The sequence below is a fragment of the Homo sapiens genome, chromosome 1, assembly GCF_000001405.40.
Source record: "Homo sapiens chromosome 1, GRCh38.p14 Primary Assembly".
Taxonomy (NCBI): domain Eukaryota; kingdom Metazoa; phylum Chordata; class Mammalia; order Primates; family Hominidae; genus Homo; species Homo sapiens.
Genome location: NC_000001.11, coordinates 212,270,919 through 212,286,987, shown reverse-complemented (window position 1 = coordinate 212,286,987; position 16,069 = coordinate 212,270,919). Strand labels below are relative to the sequence as shown.

The 16,069-nt window shown below is 44.3% G+C and overlaps 1 protein-coding gene and 1 long non-coding RNA gene across 2 annotated transcripts in view, besides 3 other annotated features; one reads left to right on the top strand and one right to left on the bottom strand.

The window, feature by feature from the left end:
• PPP2R5A (protein phosphatase 2 regulatory subunit B'alpha) overlaps positions 1–1,578 on the bottom strand; it is a 76,444-nt gene extending 74,866 nt beyond the window's left edge. Inside the window, exon 1 of the mRNA NM_006243.4 lies at positions 697–1,578. Coding sequence (NP_006234.1) covers positions 697–877 — 181 coding nt within the window. The 5' untranslated portion in view covers positions 878–1,578. The remainder of the gene's footprint in view (positions 1–696) is intronic.
• Positions 846–1,815: a silencer, noted in NCBI's record as "silent region_1793". NCBI's record gives its function as "represses an Ori minimal core promoter by ATAC-STARR-seq in GM12878 lymphoblastoid cells {active_cell/tissue: GM12878}" and the evidence as "EXISTENCE:reporter gene assay evidence [ECO:0000049][PMID:35858748]".
• Positions 1,967–16,069, top strand: part of LINC02608 (long intergenic non-protein coding RNA 2608) — a 72,020-nt gene continuing 57,917 nt past the window's right edge. Inside the window, exon 1 of the long non-coding RNA NR_125984.1 lies at positions 1,967–2,009. This is a non-coding gene — a long non-coding RNA (long intergenic non-protein coding RNA 2608). The remainder of the gene's footprint in view (positions 2,010–16,069) is intronic.
• Positions 1,986–2,065: an enhancer, noted in NCBI's record as "active region_2502". NCBI's record gives its function as "activates an Ori minimal core promoter by ATAC-STARR-seq in GM12878 lymphoblastoid cells {active_cell/tissue: GM12878}" and the evidence as "EXISTENCE:reporter gene assay evidence [ECO:0000049][PMID:35858748]".
• Positions 5,332–5,501: an enhancer, noted in NCBI's record as "experimental_3455 CRE fragment used in MPRA reporter constructs". NCBI's record gives its function as "activates a minimal promoter by MPRAs in K562 erythroleukemia cells, with activity observed for both the introgressed and non-introgressed 1:212454914 variant alleles {active_cell/tissue: K562}" and the evidence as "EXISTENCE:reporter gene assay evidence [ECO:0000049][PMID:34662402]".

The window sequence follows — 16,069 nt, the reverse complement described above, 5'->3', positions numbered from 1 at the left end:
AGACCATGTGTATCGGCTCAGACAACAGAATATTTTAAATCTATTCCTTGAGCTAAAGGATACCATTTAAAGCTAACGATCCTGTGAATAAGATACTACACTGGTCAAATTTTAGGCTTTTTCTTTATAAATACATCCAAAGGCCAGCTAACTCTTAACCGTTGTTTGCATTCGGATTCCTGGTCTGATGACTCTTAGGGGCAATCAATGGGAAGTGAAGTTGAGAAGAAGGTGGGTGCAGACGGCTTTATAACTGTAAAAGTAAAGGACTAGCTAAAAGTGGCCGAACAGAGGAGCTGACACTCGGGAAAGTGAAGGTCGGGGAAGGTTCGTGCGGTTGTTAAAGCAAGACCGGGAAAGGGCAAACCTGGAAGAGGAGTGAAGGACTCTACTTCACGGGACGCAAGATAGGAAGTGCAGGTTAAGCAAGCGCGCAGGTGGGGAAGGGTGTTGGCCTCCCCTAGGATGGAAAGAGTTCAGGTGGGAATTAGAAGGAAACAGCCAAGACTTCACAGAAAACCTGTTTGAATAAGGAGGAGGGCGTGAGGTGACGCCAAGGCATTGTGGGGAACTCGGCTCACACACTACCAGTCCCAACTGAGCAGGAGAAACCCAGCAGGAAATGGCTCTGCTGGCGCAGAGGCAAGCGTTGCCAGCCCCTGCGCTCGCTGCTGGGGCTGCGCCCTCGGAGGTTACCTTTGAGCTGGGGCAGCGGGTGCAGCTCTGCCTGGCTGCCCTGGCTGCGAAACTGCGACGAGCCCTGGGAGCGCTTCTGCCTCTGCGCCTTGCGGACCGATTTCCGGGTGAAGCCGTCCACTTTCTCCGAGGCCGAGATGGCGGCGCTGGCAGCCCCCGCCGGCGGCGACGACGACGACATCTCCGCGGCCCTGACGCTTGGCAGCTCCGGCTGCTGCTTGCAAGGCACGGGCAGCGGCGGAGACGGCAGGAGGAGGCGGGGGAGAGGCGCGGGGTGCTCGCGCCCCTGCGCCCCGGCCCCACGGCCCTCCGGCCCCGGGACGCCGCCGAGCTTCTCCTCGCCGCCCGCCAACGCCTCACGGCCACATCTCAGCGCTGGAGGTTCCTGGTCCCCGGCGCGCGGCGAGCTCCCGGGGCTGACGGAGGGAAGGGCGGGGGCGGAGGGGGGTGAAGAAGTTGTTGACTCTGGGCGCGCAGAGCGGGTGGAAGAGAGCCCGAAGTTTAGACAACTGAGGCGGGGGCACGGGGGTGCGGGTGCCGAGCGCGCCTCTCGTCGCTTCTGCCCCCGTCGCCAGCCAGCCGGCCGGCCAGCACCTCAGCGGCCGCTGCCAGCGCAGCCCGCCCTGCCTGGAGCCTCCTCTCAGGGCGCTGCCATCGCGGGTCCCCTCGGAGCCACTGCCGCGGTGCCCGCTCTTCCCGGTCAACGCCGGCCCCTCATCGCCCGGGGCGCTGCCCCGTAGCCCCGGCCCTCTGCGTGCACACACTCGCTCCTTGCCGCGCTGGGCGGCCCGAACCCCCTCCCCCACGCGCCCGTCGGCCGCCCACGGAGAACCCCAGGCGAGCGACCGCTACAACTTGAGAAGGTGGTTGGTACAGGCGACTGGGGAGTGTGTGCGCGTGTGCGCGCGCCAGGGCGCGCGGCCCGGGGAGGGGCCTCGCAAGGGGTGGGAAGGAGGAGTTTGACTGACAACTTCCGCGGGGTCCCGCCCGCCTCTTGGTGCGGCGGCGGGGGAGGGGGCGGGAAAGCATGCCAGCCCTCTTAGCCAATCACACGGCTAAGCGGCAGCGACGGCGTGAGGTGCGGCCTCTTGAGGCAGAGGAGTGGGGCGGGCTGTGTGACGGGCTTCGGCCACAGCCAATCGTAAGTGAAGACGGCGAGCGGGGTGCCCCTGCGTCAGAACAAATGCGGCAAATCGCTTGGGAGGGAGGGGAAGCGCTCCTCCACCAGCGGGCATTTTTGCGCTCACGCGCGACTGCTCCAGGCTGTCATTGCTCTCCTGACCGTCTACGAGAAGACTGGGAAACTTGAGAGGGTGCGTTCAGAGAGCAAAATAGAGCGCCCCTTCCCTTCCCTCACCTCTCTGCTGGCCAATGAAGAACTGAAGCGATTGGTGGGGCGCCGGAGGGCTGGGGCGCGAAAGAGCGCCAGGTGTTACACCACTGAAAGGGGGCGCAGCAGAGGTCAGGTGGCGAGCAAGCAGTGTGATTGACGGGCGAGGGGCCCGGGGAAGGCGAGAAGGTGAGCTCGTCCAATCGTTGCGAGGTCTGGACACCTGGGCGGGTCTTGGCGCCTTACTGGCCCCAAACCGCAAAATTGGTAGTTGCGGAATAAATTTGTAGCTCTTGGGAGGTTCGGACTCCGCAACTCCAGAGAGCTACTCTCGCGTGGGGTTTGGGCAGTCTAGCATCTGCTGCTTCAAAGAGTTCTGCAAGTCCACGCCCTCTAAAAAGAGATTTCTCATTCCCAATTTAGTATCCTGCTAATTTTCACCCCTCCTTGAGCCAAAGGCCCTCAACTACTCCAACGAGAAGAGTACAAATTCATTGGTCAGTGGTGTGTGGATATGGAGGCTTGCCATGTACTCTTACCGGAATCTCTTTCTTGGAGATTCCGTCTAGATTTTGAATTTCTTAAGGACGAGGACTGGTCATCTTAGTTTTTCGTGCAGTGCTTTCCATACGGTGGCCGTTAATAATTATTAATCTGAACAGTCAGCCTCCCTTTGCGCCAATGGACCCAAATCTGTAATCCCCTCCCTCGAGCTCCAGACCTTTTCCTTTCAACATAATAAAAGTAATTGTCGTATATTTAAACGAAGCCACCTGATGCATATGTACAGAAGATTCCAAATTTGGCAGGAAGTTGAATTCTAGACCTAGAACCAAACATACTATCCTCAAAACATTTCCTCCTTCAGATTTGCTGGGCGGTGAAATTGTACATAATCCTCCCAGTCAAGGAGGTTCAAACCTCAGCAGCGTTTCTGACACTTTTCGCTTTCTCACATAGTCAAGCTCCAGATCATGTTAAATCTACTTTCACAATTGGCGTTTCTCCCAATGTGTACAAAGACCGCCAAACGTAGTTCACGGCTTTCAAACTCACTGCCACATCAATCTTTTAAGATCACTTTTATCTTACCTGCGTGTTTGAGGAACCACCCAATACCTGCAGAATAGAGTCCAAATTCAAGACTCTCTGCGATCTGACTCCTGTCTTTCCAAGTGTAAATTCCTACATGTGCCCACAAAAACTCTTTTTAGTTCAGGCACATCATTCCACATACTGATCCCCTAAAAGAAGTTATGCATCCTCAACACTTAGTCTTTGCTGTTCCAACATCTTGAAATAATCCACTTTTTTTTTTCTTTTTTGAGACGGAGTCTTGCTCTGTCACCCAGGCTGGAGTGCAATGGTGGCACAATCTCGGCTCACTGCATGCTCCGCCTCCCGGGTTCAAGCGATTCTCCTGCCTCAGCCTCCCGAGTAGCTGGGATTACAGGCACCTGCCACCACGCCCGGCTAATTTTTTGTATTTTTAGTAGCGACGGGGTTTCACCATGTTGCCCAGGCTTGTCTCGAACTCCTGACCTCGTGATTCGGCCACCTCCGCCTCCCAAAGCGCTGGGATTACAGGCGTGAGCCACCGCGCCCGGCCCATTTTTTTTTCATCTTTTTGAAATTTCTTTTCTTCAAACCCCCTATCTTTTATGAAGCTTGACAATCCAGCCAGAAGTGATGCCTCCCTTCTTTGTATTCCTATTGCATTTAGTGTCCACACCACTCACAGCTGAAAGTTTGTCAACACCAAGAGAGCAAGAACTCAGTTATTTTATTTTACACCTCTGTTTCCCCTACTGAGCAGAGGATAACAATCACATTTTTAGTTCTCAACAGCAGAATTTCTGAAAGCGTGGTTACTGGATCACCTGCATCAGCATCCTCTGGGGTGCTTATTGAAAATGCAGATTCCTGGACCTCCCCCGCCTCCCCCCAACAGAACTAGAACCTATGGGAAGAGCACTGAGAAGTCTATTTTTAATAACTTCCCTAGGTTATTCTTATGTACACAAAAGTTTGGAACTACTATTCTCTAGTCATCTAGAAGTTATTAAAAACAGAATGTAAATGTCTGTAAGTCAGGAGTAGTACTATTTATAATAATTTACATAAAATAAGAAAGGGAGACAAATAGCAGAAAGAAAATCAGTACAGGCCGGGCGCAGTGGCTCACGTCTGTAATCCCAGCACTTTGGGAGGCCGAGGTGGGTGATCACGAGGTCAGGAGTTTGAGACCAGCCTGGCCAACATGGTGAAACCCTGTCTCTACTAAAAATAAAAAATTAGCCAGGTGTGGTGGTACGAGCCTGTAGTCCCAGCTACTCAGGAGGCTGAGGCAGAAGAATCGCTTGAACCCGGGAGGCGGAGGTTGCAGTGAGCCAAGATTGCGCCACTGCACTCCAGCCTGGGTGACAGAGTGAGACTCCGTTTCAAAAAAGAAAAAAAAAAAAAGAAAAGAAAAAAATAAATACAATAAAGCAAATTCTGTAAGTCAATACAATAAATCATATTCCATGTTCATACTGGAATGTGATAAATAATAGATACTGGATATAATAGAAAATACTGGAAACAAGTTTTTGGGAGTCTTGGAACCAGCAAAAACCATCTGGGCTTTGGTGAAACAGCCTCTTGGGGAAGAATTTTGAGCATAATTTTAAAGATCAAGTCAAAACCTGAAAAGAGAGGATGGCATTCCAGATCAAGTCACTAAGCATTTTCCAGGGGGAAGAACAAAAGCCCAAGAATCAAAATGCCTGACTCTGTGCTACTTATCAATAGAATGATTCTGTCCAGTCACTTTTTCCACATGTGTACATCAGAAAAAAAAAATGACAACCTTCTTCACAGGGCTGGCATGAGTTTTAAATATGACCCAAGAAAAAACACTCAGGGAAATAAAAATTATGTAGATGAAAATATTATGCATACATGTATATCAAACGTTTATTTTCCGTCCACTATTTTGAGTAAATAAGGTATCTGGGTCCTAGACAGAGATTTGGTCACTAAGAATCATCTAATAGGAAACTGCAATGACAGTACTAATCTATATGTGCCCCTGAAGCAGGAAGAGTGTCTTTGATTCCATGCCATAGAATTTCTGATCCTTCCCATATGTGAAGCTCCTTGGTCAAGAGCAATTTAGAGGCCAGGATTGCATCACTAACAAATTCCTTGGATGGTTTGTGCTTACATTACTTAACTTCCTTAGTTTATAAACGTATATACACTTACTGACCTTATCCTTTTGTTGAGAAAAATGATGCGAGAAAAAGTAATATCCACAACATCAAAATAATGGTTGTGTAATGGTTTTAAAGAGCACATCACAGAGAGTGTTCTTTTCAAATCACTGTGAAATTCTCTAAAGCATATCCAAGCAAAGTTTTGACTGTCAACATTCTCTTTCCTTAAGAGTCATGATTCCCAAACTGCTCCAATAGAACACCAGACCAAGGTGCCGGATCTACAGAATCAAAGAGTGGTAGTATTTTCCAAATTTACACAAAACTTCTCTCATGATCAGGCACAGTGGCTCATGCCTGTAATCCCAGCACTTTGGGAGGCCAAGGCCGGAGGATCACTTGAGCCCAGGAATTCAAGACCAGCCTGGGCAATGTGGCAAAACCCCATCTCTACTAAAAATACAGAAAATTAGGTGGCGGTGGGGGTGTGCACTTGTAGTCCCAGTGACTCAGGAGGCTCAGGTGGGAGAATCACCTGATGCCAGGAAGTCGAGGCTGCAGTGAGCACTGATGGTGCCACTGCACTCTAGCCTGGGAGAAAGAGTGACACTTTATCTCAAAAAATAAAAATAAAAAATATCTCATATCTTTTAAAAATGTTTGCATCTTACTACCACTTTACTAGAATCTAAATCAAGATAGTATCTGACTTATAAAAATACACTAATTTTTAGTGCCTCATTTCTATTTATTTAAATACATTCTCATTATTTAAAATTCAGAAGGAGTAAAAGGGCAACAGGAAACGTCTCACTCCCACCCCTGCTTCCCAACATCTGGTTCCCCGCTTTGGGGACAACCACTGCTATCAGTTTCTTATATATGTTTCCAGAGATATAATGTGTTTAATTGCTTAAGGCTTAGCAAAGTCACACTTCAAGAAGCTGCAGGAGAGAGCACCAAATCCTAACTGCTATTCCAGCAAGGAAATTAATATTGTTAAAATGTTCATCCAAAGCAATATATAGATTTATCCAAAGCAATATATAGATTTAACCCAGTCCCTATCAAAATTCCAGTGGCATTCTTTACAGAAATAGAAAAAACAATAAAATTCATTTGCAACCACAAAAATTCCCAAATAGCCAAAGCAATACTGAAAAACGAAAAGTTAGAGGTATCATACTTCCTGATTTAAAAGTATATTACAAAGCTATAGTAATCAAAACAGAATAGTTCTGGCATAAAAACAGACACATAAACCAGTGGAACAGAATAGAGAGCCCAGAGATAAATTCAACCGTATATGATAGTCTCTTCAATAAAGATGCTAGGAAAACCATACATCCACATGAAAACAATGAAATTGGACCTTTATACCATACACTAAAATCATCTTAAAATCAACATAGGGAAAATGCTCCTTGACATTGGCCTTGGCAATGATTTTTGTTTTTATATTATATCAAAAAGGGTACAAAAGCAAAAAAACTAAATGGGACACATCAAACCAAAAAGCTTCTGCATGGCAAAGGGAACAATCAACAAAATGAAAAGGTAACCTATGGAATGGAAAAAAAATTTGCAAACCACATATCTGGTAAGGGGTTAGTATCCAAAATTTATAAAGGACTCTTACAACTCAATAGCAGAAAAATAAATAACCTAAAAAAAAAATTTTTTTTTAATTGACAAGGCTGGGCACAGTGGCTCACATCTGTAATCCCAGCACTTTGGGAGGCCAAGGCAAGCAGATCACTTGAGGCCAGGAGTTTGAGACCAGCCTAGCCAACGTGGCAAAACCCCATCTCTACTAAATATGCAAAAGTTAGTTGGGCGTGGTGGTGCACACCTGTAGTCTCAGCTACTTGGGAGGCTGAGACACGAGAATCACTTGAACCCAGGAGGCAGAGGTTGCAGTGAGCCGAGATAGTGCCACTGCACTCCAACCTGGATGACAGAGGGAGACTCTGTCTCAAAAACAAATAAATAAATAAAATAAAAATGGACAAAAGACCTGAACAGACATTTCTCTAAAGAAGACATAAAAATGGTCAACAGGTGCTGGGCACGGTGGCTTATGCCTGTAATCCCAGCACTTTGGGAGGCTGAGGTGGGTGGATCACCTGAGTTCAGGAGTTCGAGAGCAGCCTGGCCAACATGGTGAAACCCCGTCTCTACTAAAAAAAAATACAAAAAATTAGCCAGGCATTATGGTGGGTCCCTGTAATCCCAGCTACTTGGGAGGCTGAGGCAGGAGAATCGCTTGAACCCGGGAGGCGGAGGTTGCAGTAAGCCAAGATTGCACCATTGCACTCCAGCCTAAGCAACAAGAGTGAAACTCTGTCTCAAAAAAAAAAAAAAAAGGTCAACAGGTATATGAAAATGTACTTGATATCACTATCATCAGGGAAATGCAAATTAAAACCACTAGGAGATATCAGTTCACATCCATAAGGATAGCTATTACCAAAAAGACAATAGGCAACAAATGTTGGCGAGGGTGTAGAGAAAAGGGAACCCTAGTACACAATTGGTGGGAATGTAGATTGGTACAATTATTATGAAAAACAGCATGGAGTTCCTGAAGAAATTCAAAATAGAACTACCTCATGACCCAGCAATCCTTCTAGTGGATGTATATCCAAAGAATATGAAATACCACTGGTAAAGATATGTGCATTCCCAATGTTAAGTGCAGCATTATGCACAATAGGGAATACATGGAAACAACCTAAATGTCCATCAATAGACGAAAATATAAAGAAAATGGTATGTACGTGTGTGTGTATAATGGGATATTATTTATATATATAATATATATATACACATGCATTATATGCATTATACAGACACATTTTATATATATAATATATATATAATGGAATGTTATTCAGCCCTCTAAGAGGAGATCCTGCTATTTGCCACAACATGGATGGACCTAGAGGACATTATGCTAAATGAAATAAGCCAGATACAGAAAAATATTGCATGATCTCATTTATGTGTAGATTTTAAAAAAAAAAAAAAGGAGTTCAAATACACAGAGAATGAAACAGTGGGATGCAGTGAGGAAGAGGAAACAGGGAGGTGTAGGTCAAAGGATACAAAACAGCATGTATGTAAGATGAATAAGTTTAGAGATCTAATGTAGGAGGAAAGTTAATAAAAATTGTATTATATTAGGCGTTTTTTGTTAAATAAGTAGATCATAGCTGCTCTTGTCACAAAAAGGTAACTAAGTAAGAGGGTAGATCTATTAATCTGCTTTACTAGAGTAACCATTTTACTATCTACTTTTCTAGATCTTTTTAAAGAATTCTAATTCCATATTGTCTATCTGGCCATTTTGCAAGCACAAGAACATACTGATATGATTAGACATCATGATTTTCAATTGCTGCCATTTTTGCTTTTTAACTTTAAACTTCTTTTAGTTAAGCTTATTATGATTCACCTCATTTGTTGTGGGCTATTGTACAGGCTATTGTGTTGGTCAACCAGGAGCTTAGACTAGGCCAGTGGCAGTAGAGATGGCTAGACTGGAGATTTATTTTGGACGAGGAGTATATAGGATTTGCAGATAGACTGAATGTGGGCTGTTGATACAGCAGAGGTATTATTAATCCCCGAAAACCTGCTCCTGTATTTATACTTTCTGATTATCACTGAATCATCTTTCCATAACTATGAAATCTTTTGCCCCATCTAAATGGGCTGTAATCATAAATGTTCAATAGCCCCTTGTCTACCCATTTCTTTACCTGTATAGATGAGGAACCAGGACATAGTTTGAAGGGGCTCAACTCATGCCAATATACCCTTGCCCTTGCAGAGTGGGACGAAAGAACCTGATGTTAGCAAACTCTCCACACTTTAATTCAACCCTGCAAACACTTTCCAAGTGCCTTCTGTTTGTCAGGCAATATGCCAGTCACTAGGAATGAAGAGGTAGATAAGGATGGGCCTTAAAATCAATCTAGTGAGGAGGGACAACATAAACAAATGAACAAACAATTATCAGAAATATTTTTTATGGTGTGGCAAAACAGTGAAATATAGGATCTAATTTGGTTTGGAAAGAAAGAGAAAATTTAACAGAAAAAGTAATGTTTGAAACCAGTCTTGAAACAAAACAAAGGCCAGGCATAGTGGCTCTTACCTGTAATCCCAGCACTTTGGGAGGCCAAGGCATGCAGATCACCTGAGGTCAGGAGTTCGAGACCAGCCTGACCAACATGGTAAAACCCGTCTCTGCTAAAAATATAAAAATTATCCGGGCGTGGTGGCATGTGCCTGTAATCCCAGCTACTTGGGAGGCTGAGACAGGAGAATCGCTTGAACCCGGGAGGCGGAGGTTGCAGTGAGCCGAGATCACGCCATTGCACTTCAGCCTGGGCAACAAGAGCAAAACTCCATCTCAAAAAAAAAAAAAAGAAAAGAAAAGAAACAAAACAAAATTATCATATGGAGAAGACCAAAAAAAGAAGAAAAATGCCTGCCATTCAGAAATTAGCTTACCACATTTCTCCATCACTATGAAGATTTCTGTATCTCAATGAATTTACTTATTCCACACAACTATTACCAAAAAGTAAAATTTCATTGCAAGAGGAGAATATATTATGCCACACCTTGTATCAGAATTTGACCTGGAAGTGGATGAGCAAAGAAAAAGTAGAGATTAACTTCAACACATAACTGTCCTCTGGGTATATCATAAAAAGCAATGATTGCAAAAGTACTATATGGTTCCTTCATGTTCCTCTACTATGCATATTTTATGTAAATATATAAGTGGTCTTCTGCTTTCATCCATCTGAAGACAAAAAAAAAAAGGAAATCATTCCAAGCAGTAGGAATATAACTTATAAGGTGCAGAACCCTGAGAGAAGGGGCTACATCTGGAAACCAAAGGAATTTGGTATAAGCTTTCTTCGGTGGGCAGAAGCTGCATCTATTGAGGAGGGCAGAGTGGGTCATGAAGGGCTTTGTGTGCAGTTATTGGGTTTCATCCTCAAGTCAGTGGGGAGACACTGAAGGATTTTAATAAGCAGGAGAGTGGCATGATCAGATTTGCATTCTAGAAAAATTACATTGTTGGCAGTATGGAGGATGAACTGATTACAGAGGGCAAGGCCAGAGAAAGGGAGACCTGTGGGCCAGAAGACAAATAGTAAGACTCTGTGTCAGCATCAAGTAGGTTTTGAGGCAGTCCCTGTCTTAAAATACCTAGCTGCTGAATGTCAGCAATGTATTCTCTCTCATTGGCTTACTATTTTGGATCAAATTACTTTGAAAATCCTACAAACTCACTGTTATCTTCTATGTAAGGTGTTGTCTACAATTTGATAATACTGGTAGTACTAAGAGTTTTTCAGGAATTATTAAATTGGAAATTAATGTTTTCAGACCCTATGCTTTGACTTCTATGCAAACAATATGGCTTTTTCAAAAATTTGTGTGTCTGTAGGTAAGTGTAAATATAATCTTGGCTAGGTGCAGTGTCTCACATCTGTGATCCCAGCACTTTGGGAGGCCAAGGTGGGTGGATCACCTGAGGTCAGGAGTTTGAGACCAGCCTCGGCAACATAGTGAAACCCCACCTCTACTAAAAATACAAAAATTAGCTGGGCGTGGTGGTGGGCACCTGTAGTCCCAGCTACTTGGGAGGCTGAGGCAGGAGAATCACTTGAACCCAGGAGGCGGAGGTTGCAGTGAGCTGAGATCGCACCACTGTACTCCAGCCTGGGGGACAGAGCGAGACTCTGTCTCAAAATAAAACAAACATATCATCTCTACCATAAATTTAACACCTACTATATGCTAGGCACCATTCATATAAAGAATCTGGCAGAAAGAGATCAAATGAGATCCCCCCTTAAAGTCTCTTTCATCTATGTGACACTCCTGTCTTTTCCCTTGGGAGTTTGGTCTTGGTGACTTCTTCCATTTTCAGGAGCAATTTTTTGTATTCTAGCATCTCTGGAGTTCTCCATTCTTATAAAAATCAGTGGAAATTCAAGGCTCTGTTTATTAACTCTGTATAAAAACATTTACAAAAAAATGAAATTAGAATGGATTAGCATAAGATCATTGTTCTTGCCTAGCACTTTAAAAATTTTGTGTTTATGGAACTTTGGAGCCTACTACCTAGAAGGAAAATGAGATTATCAAGAGATGTAATGGTGCTTAATGTTTTCTTTTCATTCACTCAAAAATCATTAATTAACTTCTTATAATGAGCCTGGCCTGTTCCAGGTGCTTGGAGTATAGTGGTAAATGAGACGAAGTCAGCCTGCATGGAGCTTGTCTCCAATGGTGAAAGCTCACATCAATTAAAGTCCAACGGTGGAAACAAAGCAGGGAATATGCACCAGAGGAAACACCATGTGACTACACACACAGACCTTCAAAGCTGCTTAGGAGAACCTCTAGGGTGACCAACTCATCCTGGTTTGCTAGAGACTTTCCCAGTTCTAGTACTGAAAATCCAGTGTCCCAGGAACCCCCTCACTTTTGGGCAAACCAGGATGGTTAGTCACTCTATGAACTAAACACGCAGCAACACATTTATTCAAGGCCTATTATTAGCAAGGCCCATGGCTAAACATTGTGGCCTCTACCCTAAGAGAGCACAAGCTCTAGGGGAGAGATGAGATGAGGCATGCATTCACAAAAAGATAACTTCTCATTCAGAACACTATTTGATGAGAGCCAAGATGGTACATTTGGAGGGAGGTCATAGGTGGTATTTGTGCTCAGGTGGAGAAGACGGAATTCAAGCTTGACCTGGAGGTTCAGGTATAATTACATAAATAGAGAAAAAGATAAGAGATAAGGGAAAGCACTATCCAACTGCTTACTGCATGCCTCTTAAACTCCAAGTTTCCAACTTATTATGTTGACCTCCTCCTCCCCTCTCTGTCTCACTATATTGCTGTCCACCAGTCAACAAAGAGAGAAATGACATCGAGGTGTGGAAGTGGAAAGAACAAGTATGTAGATGGGAGGTTAAAAGATGTATTGACTGGAGAAGATGCTTTTTGGAGGGAACAGTGGGAGGGAAAGCTGGAAAAGGTACAATTATTTACTTATTCAACAAACGTTCAGTGTTTATTATTGGCCGTTTTCTGGTCTAGGTTCTGGGTATAGAAAGGAAAAAAAATACAATTCCTTCTTTCAGAGAGTCTGGAGAGGGAAAGAAAAAGCCCTCCAAACCCCATACCCACCACAGATAGTCTCATAAATGCTGTAACAGAGGTAAGCACAGAGGAGAAAGTACAGAATCTCTGGCGTGGAGAGCAAGAAAGGCTTTCTAGAGGAAGATGCTCTAGATCTGAGAATTGAAAAACCAGAAGGAATTAGGAAGACAAAAAAAAAAAAAAAGGAAATCATTCCAAGCAGTGGAAATATAACTTATAAGGTGCAGAACCCTGAGAGAAGGGGCTACATCTGGAAACCAAAGGAATTTGGTATAAGCTTTCTTCAGTGGGCAGAAGCTGTGTGTCTATTAAGGAGGGCAGAGTGGGTCATGAAGGGCTTTGTGTGCAGTTATTGGGCATTATCCTCAAGTCAGTGGGGAGACACTGAAGGATTTTAATAAGCAGGAGAGTGGCATGATCAGATTTGCATTCTAGAAAAATTACACTGTTGGCAGTGTGGAGGATGAACTCATTACAGAGGGCAAGGCCAGAGAAAGGGAGACCTGTGGGCCAGAAGACAAATAGTAAGACTCTGTGTCAGGCATCTGAGATGGAATGGCAAGATCAGACTCAGGAGATATTGTAAATAAATAAAATGACTTAGTGACTTATTGGGCATGGATAAGGGTATGGGACACAGAAGAGGAAAGGGTGATTCCCAGGTATCCAGACTGAGTGACTGGTGGGCAGCAATGCCATGTAGTGAGACAGGGAAGGGAGGAAGAGGTGGACGTAATAAGTTGGACACTTTGAGAATAAGCAGTTGGATAGTACAGGCTTGCAGGAAAGAGATCTGTACTGAAGGTAGAGATCTGGTAGTCATCAGTATACAGATAGGAGATGGAACTCTAAGAATACCCTTGTTCTCCTGGGTGGAGTGTATAGAATAAGGAAAGAGGGTGAGAAAACCCCTGGGGTTGCTGGGCGCAGTGGCTCACGCCTGTAACCCCAGCACTTTGGGAGGCCGAGGTGGGTGCATCATGAGGTCAGGAGATCGAGACCATCCTGGCTAACATGGTGAAACCCCGTCTCTACTAAAAAATACAAAAAAATTAGCCAGGCATGGTGGCGGGCACCTGTAGTCCCAGCTACTCAGGAGGCTGAGGCAGGAGAATGGTGTGAACCCGGGAGGCAGAGCTTGCAGTGAGCCGAGATCGCGCCACTGCACTCCAGCCTGGGTGACAGAGTGAGACTCCATCCCCCCCAAAACAAAACAAAACAAAACAAAACAAAAAAAAAACCCTGGGGTACCCTTACTTGAGGACACTGCAGAGAAAGAAGATAGTATCAGATTATGGAGTGTCAGCAAGTTTGGACCTGATTCTGAAGTCAGTGGGGAGATGCTGGAGACTATTTGAATAGAAGATGTCATGTTGAAGTAGTGTTTTAAGATCACCAGGTGAAGGCAATGGAAGCCAAAGAGATTGGCTGGAGATGATTACAGGTGTCCAGGCAGCCAGGGCTTGAATGAGTGGTGCTAAGCAGTGTGTGTCAGTGGCACCCATGGAGCTTTTCCAAGCTATAACTTCCTGGCCCCCCAGTGGACATGAGAATCTTGGGGTAGAAGAGGCAAAACGTGTAGTTTCAAAAAAATCCCAAGTGATACTCCAGTCCCCTCCCCCTATCCTATCCTCCATTTCTTGGTGATGAGTGGCTTGAACTAAAAATGGCCTTAGGAATAGATGTGAGAGATACTACAAAAGAATACTACACTGGAAAGATTTGACTAAAGGTGGAGGAGGGAGGTGGCAAGTCAAAGAGGAAAATTACAAATGATGCCAAGGTTTTGAATTGGGTGACCAAATAAATTGGGGGCCTTTAACAAAAGTCCAGTAGCTGATCCAGTTTTCTTTTGTGGGAGGAGGTAGAGAGGGGTGTCAGAGGAAGGAAGGGAAAGAGAAGCAAACATTGAGTCTGAGGTTAGAAATGTTGAGTTAAAAGAGCTTTTTAAGGTCGTTGAAGCTGAAGAGCTGGATCTTTATTTTTAAAAAGAGGTGATGACATGTTGTATATTAATTTGGAGAAAGAAGACGACTAGAATGGGCTGACAGCCTAGTGTAGGCCAAAGCAAAGAAGGAAATTACACAAACAACACAAGCCTCTTTTTCCTCTTTAAGGAAAAAAAATCATGACAGAAACAAATGGGCAAAAGATGGCCTGTCATGTGCCTCTGCATTCTCCAGTGCCAAACAGTCAGTAGAACTGCACAGGAGAGGACCAGGCCCAGGGCAACCCCTTGTATCTGCTGTGGCTGTGGGCCAAAGATCAGGAACAATGCAGCCGTCACTCTGGGCTCACCATGTGCACACACACAAGACACACACACACACACTCACCCTGCATTCTAAATTCTTAACCACCTTCTAAGCAAAACTATACCTAGATCTTTTTTATGATGCCTTTATAGAGGAAGAAAAAAATCAATTTACCAACTGAACACCTCCTCCTAGTTTCAGGCAAGATCTGTGCAAAGTCTTCCAGCTTTCCCAACTTCTTGATTAGTTAAGGCCTCTTCTTACACTCAGCAGATAAGTCCCACTCCGTCACGCTGAATTACAGTGATTGTTTCTCAGCTTACTTTGGGTCAAGGATATGGGCTAGGACTGGAGAATGACCTTAGCCCTTCAGACTGAAAGATGCAATTTCAGTCCTTATACACATTGGGCATGTTTCAGTGTGAATTATTTGCATAGTGGCCTTAAGAGAGAAAGTACTACATCAATCCAATGATTTAATACAGCACTATATCCTTCTGGGTGCTAGGGAAGCAAAGTTGAGGAGGACACAGATTGTGCTCTCTTGGAGTTTACAGTTTCATGATGAAGAAAAGTCAAGCACACAGAGAATCACTGTATAATTCAAGAAGAGAAAAGATGTATCAACAAAATGCAATTGGGGCTAAAGGAGGAAAAATAATGTTATGATTGGAGAATGAAGAACAAGGGACACAGAGGAGCAGCTGGAAGGTTAAAATTGACTTTGAAAATTGCACAGAATTTCAGTGGGTAGCTAGGTAGGGGAAAGGAGAAGAACATTCAGGTAAGGGAAACAGCATGAGCAAGGTCACAGAGAGAGGAATATGTGTGGCATATTTGGAGAACAGCAAATAGTTTGGTTTGGCTGCGGTATAGGAAAAAAGTAGGAGATAAAGCTAGGAACATAGGTCGGGGACCTACTGCAGAGGACTTTAAATGCCAGGGTGAGGAGTTTGTACTTAATTCTTCAAGTAATGGGAAGCTATTGAAGACTTTGGGGCAGGACAGCAATTGATTAGACTTTGATCTAAGAGGTTTAATCTCACATCTGTTAACTGGGAGGAAAAGAGGGTAGAAGCTACAGGCAGGGCAAAATTTTAGACATGTGTTTAACATGTCTGTGCACTCTCTGAATAAAGATGCTCATTAACACTTGGAATGAGGGTCTGATATTCAGGAAAAAGGTATGGTTAAGGTTCTTTGTAGCCTTAGTTTCTTTACTCTGAGGACTGTTTTGGTAATCAGAAGATAATGCTTTGAAAAACACTTACAACAGTTCCTGACTCATAATGGGCATGTGAGACAGATGTGATGGTACTTGAGGCGGTGGTAGCATCAGTAGTAGTTGCACAGTTAGTTCTTCCTTGTAACCCTTTTGTTCTT